Source organism: Homo sapiens, chromosome 13 (genome assembly GCF_000001405.40).
Source record: "Homo sapiens chromosome 13, GRCh38.p14 Primary Assembly".
NCBI classification, from domain to species: domain Eukaryota; kingdom Metazoa; phylum Chordata; class Mammalia; order Primates; family Hominidae; genus Homo; species Homo sapiens.
In genome coordinates, this window is record NC_000013.11 from 29957114 (window position 1) to 29967177 (window position 10064).

Genomic DNA, 10064 nt, shown 5'->3' on the forward strand with positions numbered 1-10064 from the left:
ATTTTGTTTCCTCTTCCTCAATTGGTGAAGCAAGGCATTTTAATATTCCTAATTATCCCCACCCACATAGTACATTTTTTACAAAGGCAACACTCAGAAGGGCCAGGGCTTATTGAGCCAGACGCCGCTGAGACAGGGGGGCTGAAGGGAGATGCAACCCACCCGCCATCCCCTCTTCATACTGGGGCTGGAGGAGTCCACGGAGAACGTCGGAACCTCATGCCTGCCTTATATAAATATTGTAAGGATTGATATGATCATGTTGGCAAACTGCTCTGCACTCCTGAGAGAAAGAGAGTTACAAGGATATGGTTTTATTATTCACAACACGCTGTGTGCTTACTGTTGGAGAGCTCAGATGCAAACTGCCTGCGGGTTGTAATTTCACTCTGCTCCTTCTGTGTTGGGAACCAGCAGCTTAGGTTTCTATATTTGAAAAATAAGTTTCTTCATCAGCAACTACTCCAGTACATCAGAGGGGAATGATGGAGTAGAGCAAGTTCGATAAGAGCAGCTCTATTGCCCTAGTGAGATTTGTCCGAATGGGAGAGTTCAGCCAGGAAGGGGGAGATTAAACAATGAGCCTCGACTCCATTGAGTCGGGATCCTCTCTCAGCAAGACACTGCTGAGCAAAAAAATCAATAGCAAGAGAAACAAAATCAAACCACATCCAGGCTTCAACACCTTGGGGAAATAACGGGAAGAGGGAAACTTTATTAAGACTGTTCTGTCAACCTTACTCATTCATTTGAGGCATTTCTTCTTTAAATATTCCAGTCCATTTTGGAGGGCAGAGGCAATCACAGGGCAGATTGATCTTGCACTGAATAGACATTTGGTTAGCTCTAAGTTGTAGGTACAAGAGATGGATTTTCCTGTGGAAGTGTGTGAGAGGGTAGCCTCTCCAACTCCCACCCCAGGGCCAGGACCAAGACTCATAGCACTACTTCCAGGACTGTGAAGGAACAAATGACCTTGTTCAGAAGAAAAGAAGAATGGGCACAAATGACTTGGAGAAATGGCACAAGTGGGGATTTTTATCTATATATTGTCCTCAAATAAATCACAAAAAAAATGACACTGCAACTACTCAATACGTTTATTCTGGTCTTTCTCTCCTCTCCTGCCCTAAAAAGCCCTGGACAGATGTGCCCCACCCCCTTGCTCTGATGCTTTACTGTAAAACTCTAAACATCCTCAGAGGTGCATTGTCTTCTACTTATTTAGCCAGTACTTATTTTGTTGAGTGCTGCTACGGGCTCAGTGCTTTCTTAAACACTGCAGGGCTCAGTAAAGAAAAATACTATTTGCTCCTTTCCTAAGAAAGCTTACAGACTGGCCAACAGGCATAAAGTTATTAGAGACTGGGTCACAAGGAAATAGGAAGCGAGTTCTCCAATACACAGAATTAATGTTGCTTCTCTAGTATTGAAAGACAGCCCAATACTGACAAGGCTCCCTGGATGCCTGCCCCAGCTTCCATCATTGTCACAGCAAACCCACTGGGCCCAGTGCCCAATCATTTGCAGGGATGGTTACACCTGAGTTCTTACAACCTGGGCTTGAGGTAGGAAGTGCGTACATAGCCTGCAGACCTTTGCCACATCCTCCCCATAGACAGCCCCAACCCTGCCCCGTCCCTATCTTCTGCAGGTAGAGGGGCTTCAGAGAGCTGACTTCTCACAGCTTCCCTGCTCCCAGGGCACAGAGCTGAGCTCATGGCTTCATTCCCACACAACATATAGCTTTTATAACAGGATGGTTACAGGGACAGAATGGGCATGAGACATAAGGTCAGATTGCAACCCTCTGAAAAGTGCAAACAACAAAAAGTATGAGCTATGCACCCAAAATAGGAACAAAGGGGCCAATGTGTCTTGAGTTGGGAAGGCTTTAGAATGTATTTCTAATGCAAAGACAAGGTCAAAGAAAAAGGAGGGGCAAAGTGAGGCCTTCAAAGATTTGCTTTGGGAGAACCCCAGGCTCCTTGGGCTTTAGGGAAGATTCTCTTCATCCTCAGACCACCCAGAGCCAAGCTGACACAGCAGCTGCCTTGCCCATAAGAGCCAGATCTGGGGCACTCTCCAGTGAGCCAGGCTTCTAAGCTTCCCCCTAAAATCCACCTCATCCCTGGGCCTAGAGTGTGACTTTGCAGTGCTTTAAGGACCTGGGCCAGCTCCTCCACCTCCTCAGCCCACTTGCCTCCCACTCCCGAGTGTTTGCATTTGAATGGATCCTGGAAAACAGTAGGAAGAAGGTGATTTGGTAGCAAGGGCCCCAAATCTGTTCCAACTCTATCATCATTGAAAGTCATTTTATAGGCAAAAAGAGAAGAACTCTTAAATGCTTGTGCAAGTTCTCCCAGCAAGTCCAGGGAATTTGGCCCAGGTCTCCTTTATCAAGCCTAAGCTTTTCCCCTACGACAGTCAAAAGCCTGCTCACCTCTTCTGGGTTGGCAGCCCAATCCAAACGCCACCTCCTCTGAGAACCATCAAAGACCATCAGATATCATCCACCCCACCACCCGCAACCCCGTACATCATCAGCTCATTCCAGCCTATTCCCTGCCCTGCCCTAGCCTAGCTAACTGCTCCGTGGTTCTAGGCACCATTTCGGCAGGTCCTGTGTGAGTGCATTCATGTGGAATTTATTTTTGTATAGTTCACAATGTAACTGCCCAAGGGATTTATCTAGCCCGCTGCCTAGACAGAGCCAATTCATCAAGACAGGGGAATTGCCATAGAGAAAAAGTAATTCACGCAGAGGCGGCTGTGTGGGAAACTGGAGTTTATTACTCAAATCAGTCTCCCCGAGCATTCAGGTAGCAGAGTTTTTAAGGATAACTTGGTGGGCAGGGGTAGCCAGTGAGCCAGGAATGCTGATTGGTCAGGGATGAAATCATAGGGAGTTGGAGCTGTCTTCTTGTGCTCAGTCAGTTCCTGGATAGAGGCCACAAGATCAGATGAGCCAGTTTATTGATCTGGGTGGGGCCGGCTGATCCATCAGGTGCAGGGTCTGCAAAATATCTCATGCACTGATCTTAAGAGCAGTTTAGGGAGGGTCAGAATCTTGTAGCCTCCAGCTGCATGCCTCGTAAACCATAATTTCGAATCTGGTGGCTAATGTTGGTCCTACAAAGGCAATCTAGTCCCCAGGCAAGAAGAAGGTCTGCTTTGGGAAAGGGCTGTTACCATTTTTGTTTAAACTATAAACTAAGTTTCTCCCAAAGTTAGTTCAGCCTATGCCCAGGAATGAACAAGAACAGCTTAGAGTTTAGAAGCAAGATGGTGCTGGTTAAGTTAGATCTCTTTCACTGTCTCAGTCATAATTTTGCAAAGGTGGTTTCAACAATGCCCCCAGCACCATTGTGGTTTCTTAGTTGGTAATGATCCCACACCCTGTTCCATATGGCTCACACCCTTCTGTTCCTCCTGCCTCTTTGCTGCTCTGCATGTGACCTGCTGCCCTGCTCTCCTGTCTTCCCTGCCCTCCATTCTCTCCCCATCTTTAGTGACATCGTGCTGTCACTGCTTCACTCCCAAGTTTGTCCTGGTCCCAGTGTAAATTAGTCCCTGGGTGCCTTCTTTGTGGAGGGGAGGCATATGCAAAGACGAAATAGAGACAGGGACTTCACTGCTCTCCCGGAGCCTGACCGAAGACCAGCCAGGTCCTGGAACCTGCTCCAGGTCACAGAGCAGAGAGGTTCAGTCCTGTAAAGATAGGGCCTCTGAGTCTGCTTAGAAACAAAAATCCCATCATGCAAACACAGCACTGAGAAGATGAGGCAGACACAAGGCCAAAAAAGATCTGGTAGCTCTTGGTGGACCTCACAGAACGTGAGTCAGCCAGAGCTGCCATGGCTTTAAAAGGTGTTAATGAGTTCAGGTGAGCCACCCCTCAGGGCATCTAATGGTCCCAGAGGGAGGCTCCATTATGCAGCCCCAGAATGCCCTTCTCACTTCACAAATTCGTGCCAGTGGTCTCAAGGGATGAGTGAAGGGATGAGTGAAGCTGGATAGACTGGACCAGGCTGCGTTTCTAATCATTGAAAGCAGAAAAGGAACAAATCAGCTCTCAGCTGAAGTGTGCAGTTGGAGCGGGGGTCCCCGGGGGGCTTTTTCTCCAGTTACCACCTGAGCTCAGTCCCCCGGCCCCCAGCTCCTCTAAGTGCTTTCCTGGAGGAGAAAGGCAGGGTCCTTCATCCCCACTCCTCGCCCATTCCCGAGCCAGCCCCTAAAAGGAGGCACAGGTGTTAAGCAACCACTCAGCCCATGACCTCCGGTACAGCTTTCCAGCAAACAGGCCGCCTCTGATGAAAGCGATGCAGACAGCTGAGCAGTTACAAAGTGGCAGCAGACAGCCTGGACCGGCAGTGGACAGACAATATGTCCAGCCCTGTGGAAAATTTGTGGGCAATGAATATTCAACAGCTGCATGGCACACCACCAGTGCCTTGAGGATCGCTAAAGAGGATGCTTTCTTCTACATGACTCTGTGTTCCTGTAGGTGACAAAATACCACAAGTGGCTGGGTGCGGTGGCTCACGCCTGTAATCCTAGCACTTTGGGAGGCTGAGGCGGGCAGATCATGAGGTCAGGAGATTGAGACCATCCTGGCTAACATGGTGAAAACTGGTCTCTACTAAAAATACAAAAAATTATCCGGGCGTTGTGGCGGGCGCCTGTAATTTTACCCAGGATGAGGCAGGAAAATCGCTTGAACCTGGGAGGAGGTTGCAGTGAGCTGAGATTGTGCCACTGCACTCCAGCCTGGGCGACAGAGCAAGACTCTGTTAAAAACAAAACAAAACAAAGCAACCACAAGCTAAAATGCTGATCATATCTCTGCTAAAGCCCATTCACAGTGGTGGGCTGAGCCTGGAAGCCTGAAGAGGGAGGGGGAGAGGTGGGTGCTTCTCTGACTCAGAGCCACTGGGTCCTCAACCTTAGGACACTTCAGAGTCACCTGGGAGCCTTAAAAAAAACCCGCCAATTAAACCAGAACCTCTAGGGGTAGGCCCTGGGAATCAAGTTTAAAAGGATGTTTTTAAAACTGTTTTTGGAACTAATTTTAAACTCTGAGAAGTTGTTAGAATAAAACTACTACAAAGAATACCCATATGTCCTCTACACTGATTGTGAACATTTTAACCTATTTGCTTAATTATTTTTCTGTATCTTTCAATACACACACATATACACATTCACCCATAATATTTTAAAATATTTTTTTCTGGGCCATTTGAAGATTAGTTACATCACGGTCCTTGACCTCAAAATACTTCAGTGTGTAACTCCTAAGAGACATCCTCCTACATAACCATAGTACAGTTACCTACTCCAGCAAATTTAACATTAATACAACACTTTGGGAGTCAGAGGTCTTTTAACTCTTCAGGTGAGTCTGATGTGCAACCAAGCATGAGAATAATGGGGAGGCCACTAAAATTCACCCCAGGATCTCGAGTCCTGGTACAGGAGGCAGAGAAGAGGTTGGTGGCCCACATTCGGTCTTCCAGGCTTGCCTGGATTCATTACCAGGAGCAGACTGGTCCATGCACAGTTGAGACAGAGGAAACCTGGGGTCCCGGGAGTGGCTCTTTGAAGCCTGTTTATGATACTTGCTCCTCCCTCTTTTTCCCACCATCTCATTTCTCCATTTCCCTAGAATGGCCTTTTTTATGGTCCAGGATTATCCTTTAAGTACCAAGTCGTTTATTAATAATTTAATATAGGGCCGGGCATGGTGGCTCACACCTGTAATCCCAGCGCTTTTGGGAGGGACGAGATCAGGTGATCAAGACCATCCTGTCTAACATGGTGAAACCCCGTCTCTACTAAAAATACAAAAAATTAGCCAGGCGTGGTGGCACGCGCATGTAATCCCAGCTACTCGAGAGGCTGAGGCAGGAGAATTGCTTGAACCCGGGAGGCGGAGATTGCAGTGAGCTGAGATTGCACCACTGCACTCCAGCCTGGGCAACAGAGTGAGACTCTGTCTCAAAAAAAATAAAAATAAAAATAAAAAATTTTAATATAGCACAACGACCCATTGAGAAATTACCCCAACCTTTGTTCATACTGTTTTGGCCTTGTATAACTAAAATGAATCTTTCCCTTTTCCAGTAACCCACACAGCCACACTCTGGGATCCACCCCTGTGTCTAATGGGACAGCCACGTGCAGCCTTTGAGCAGCTGTAATGTGTCTGCTTTGAATTGAGATGTGCTGTCAGTGCAAACCCACACCAGATTTTGAAGACTTTGCATATAAAAAAAAAAAAGAATACCAACTATCTCAATAGTAACTTTTTATGTTGATCCCGTATGGAAATGATATTTTGGACATATTGGGTTAAATAAAATTTGTTATTAAAATTAATTTCCCTGTTTCTATTTTTGAATGCGGTCACTAGAAAATTAAAATTAAGTGTGTGGCCAGCATCGTATTTGTATTATACAATGCTGGCCTAGAATCTCCTTGTCCTGATAGAAATAATGCCTTTAGGAGCAGGAGTTGATGGTAAAATGAGAAAAAATGGTGGGTGCCAGGGGCACAAACACACATAGGTGTTCATGTTTGAAGCTAGGGTTTTTCAGAAGGGAAAGAATGAGGGAGAGAAAGGAGAAGAGGGAGTTGGCCACCCTGAAAGTAGGTAGTTGGAACTCAGAGGTGAGAAGGGGACAGGGGAGCTGCATGTTCCTCAGGGACCTGGCCTCTCTAAGGGAGGCCTCTCTGAGATGACCCATCCTCAGGTGGGGATGGCCATGAAGAGCTAACCACTGAGGACCAGGGCCAGCAGGGTCAGGTGATGGCTCCTTAGGGTAAGTGCAGCTCCAGACAGGCAGATGCCTCTGAAGGATGACTCTAGTCTGGTGGAGGTCCCTGCAGGTGATAGAGCCACAGCCCCAGGCAGGTGAGGACCCACTTCAAGCACAGCCGAGGTGACCTCCAGGACACACGTGGCAGGATGCAATACCCTTTCACCCTGGACTCTTATATGCCCCTGGAAAGGAAAGGGGGCCAGGCCACTAGTGATAATGGATTTTCAGCCATGATAGTGAAACCACCTTTGCAAAAATGGTATCAGTGATCTGCAGTAACCCACCACCCATCTTGCCTTTCCTTTTTTAATTATCCCTGGGCTTTTGGGCCAAGCTAACTTTAAGAGACATTTAGGCTGTAGTTTACATGATAATAGGCCTCCGCCAAAACTCATCTGCTTTTGTAAAGCCAATGGGAGGCCATCAGGCTGTGTGGAGGAGGGGAGCTGGAGTCCTGCTAAGGCGCAGAGACAAACGATTGTCAGCCATGTTCCAGAAGTTATAAGATATGCACCTTCTCCGATTATGCCTTCAGATAACACCACTATTGTAGATCGGCCTTTTGAGATACCTTTCCAGGGTTTTTTGTTTGTTTTTTGTTTTTTGTTTTTTTGCATATCTGACATCCATGGTCTCACCTGGACCCCTAACCTCACTCCTGTGGCCCCATGCAGAAGAGGTTCAGCACACCAGAGGGCAGCCTCCACCCCTTATGATTTCGTCTCCACCCCAACCAATCAGCAGCAAGCCTAGCCTCCCCCAACCCTTCCGGAAACTGCTTTTGAAAAACCCCTAACCTGCTAGCTTTGAGACAAGACGATTTGAATACTAACTCTATCTCCCACGTAGCATGGCCAGCCTTGTGTCTATTAAACACTTCCTTTACTGCAATGCTGCGGTCTTTCTCTATGCACTGGGCAGGAGGAACCCCTCTGGTGGTTACATTAGCCGGTGGAGATCCTGCTTTCCCCAAGGGTTCCAGAGCAACTGACACTTGTTCCATGCATCTAGGACCCAAATTCATCTCCTTGTCCCAGTGTTTTCCTACAGGAGAATCACACAGAAGTCTCTCACCTTATGACATTCCTTTAAATGTCTGAAGATAATCAGGAGAGTTTCGTGGACTTTTGGGGTGGGGAAAGTTCTCTAAATTGTCTGAAATGATTATAAAATTATTTTCATTTGCATATATACATTTTTCTGGGAAGGGCAATTTATACACTTGATAAGGTCCTTAAAGGAGTTCTGACTTAGAAAATACCATGTCACTGTACTACAGTGAAAAGGTCCTTTAGGGAAAATTGCTTGCTTTCTAGTCCACCTGCTTCATTTGTGTACTCAGTCATTCACTCACAATGTGTTCACACAAGACCTCCCATCCTTCAGGCCCTGCAGCTCCAATTGGGATATTCCCCCATGAAGCGCTTCTCATCTCTAGTCTCTGTTCCTCCAACTGGGTGTCAGTCTACGTGTTTTCATCACAGCTCCCCTCATTACTCTCTCCCTCTTAAAGCCTCACCACAAACATCAAAGCAACAGCAGGCTCTGGATAAATTGCAATTTTCCACTTTCTCTCGACCTGTCTCCACTTCCACCCCAAGAACTCCTTGAGGCTTCTTCTCAGAAAATAACCCTGGTGAGGCATTATTGCATGACTCCTCTTCCAAGGACTGTTTGCAGTTTTATTGATGATCCTGGGAAGAATAGAACATCTTCTGCCGTTAGTAATGCATTGCTGTTGATGATACAGAGGCCCATTGAGGCCTGGTGAGACACGGGTGGAGGAACTGATTTGGATGAGAGTGGAGCCCACCTCAGAGCACAGGGCAGTCTTCCTTCCCTTGGGGGTGGCCCCATGGCCTGGGCCTCTATTGCTCCACAAGCACCTGCTGCCCCAAGCTCCTTACTTACCCGGCCAACGTAGCTTTTCTAACCATACCTTTGCCTATGCTGTGACCCCTTCCTGGGAGGCCTTCTTTCCATTTCTGCTCACTCAAAGGCTTTTCTCAATTTCTCACTCAAGTTCTACCTCCTCTCTGAGTCCCTGAGCAGGACCTCTACCCACAGTGTGTCTCTCCCTCCCCAAAGGCCACAGGACTTCTTCACTTTCACAGCATCCTGTATCCTCCCTCACTTTCATAGCACATGTTTTGCACATAGTCACTTATTTTCTTGAATTCTCTGTTTTAAAAGAATGGTCTTACTTTCCCTAATGAAATTACTAACTTATTCTTTTTTTTAATTATTTTTTTCTGGATGCTTTCTTCATCATTGAGATTTCTCTGGTTTTAAAACTTTTTTTTTAGTAAAAAGATATCATGAACAAGATACATGTAATTCATAATGCAAGTACTAAAATCCAAAAAGCCACATGATTGTAATCCTTTTCCAGTTATCCCAGTGCCTTTCCAGCTTAAATCTGAAAGCAAATTTCCTTTAGAAGAGGCTATTAATCACTATTATTTTCAAATATTGTTGTGTTTGCTCTAAAGTCCTATTAATTCACCATATACTCACAAGTCTCCAATATTTCATTGCAAACTGAGAAAGTTACCAGGACAAAAAAATTATGCTGCCTCTGCAAAAGCTGTCATACTTAGCACCCCATTCTGACTGGGAGAGCTAAAATCAAGGGGCAGTTTTCTTTCCAAACACTATTGTACTAACAGTCAGCTTGGTTATAGAAGATAAGTAATTTCAAATACTTGAGACAATGTTAAATGCAGAATTGAGATTCCAAATTTCCATTCATTTATGCTTTATGTTATAGGTTTTAAAAACTGCCCTGCCTCGGGTTATGAAATGTTAGGTCGACACACGAGACTGTCAAATCCTCCAATAATTCAGTAGCCTGCTATGTTTTAGTTGAACAGAAAAACAACCAATACTTGATTTTACCTCTTAAGAAACTCTCACCTTACCTAAATCGGAAAATAAATGGGGTGAAGTCTGTAATGGTTAGCTTTATGTATCAACGTGTCTAGGCTATAGTACCCAGTTATTAAATCTAACACTAATCTAGGTGTTGTTGTGAAGACATTTTGTACATATGGTTATATTTACAACCAATTGTCTTTAGGTAAAGGAGATTAGCCACAATAATGTGTGTGGTGCCTCATTCAAAAAGTTGAAGGCCTTAATAGCAAAAACCAAGGTGTCCTGTAGAAGAAAAGATTGCATCATTAACTCCTACCTTAGTTTCCAACCTGCTGGCCTGTCCTACAGATTTTAGAGTTGCCA

At 45.8% G+C, this 10064-nt stretch overlaps 2 annotated features.

Annotated features, from left to right (window-relative positions):
* Positions 6386–7295: an enhancer, noted in NCBI's record as "OCT4-NANOG-H3K27ac hESC enhancer chr13:30537636-30538545 (GRCh37/hg19 assembly coordinates)". NCBI's record gives its function as "activates a minimal SCP1, AML or CMV promoter by ChIP-STARR-seq in naive and primed H9 embryonic stem cells {active_cell/tissue: H9 hESC(naive and primed)}" and the evidence as "EXISTENCE:reporter gene assay evidence [ECO:0000049][PMID:30033119]".
* Positions 7296–8204: an enhancer, noted in NCBI's record as "OCT4-NANOG-H3K27ac hESC enhancer chr13:30538546-30539454 (GRCh37/hg19 assembly coordinates)". NCBI's record gives its function as "activates a minimal SCP1, AML or CMV promoter by ChIP-STARR-seq in naive and primed H9 embryonic stem cells {active_cell/tissue: H9 hESC(naive and primed)}" and the evidence as "EXISTENCE:reporter gene assay evidence [ECO:0000049][PMID:30033119]".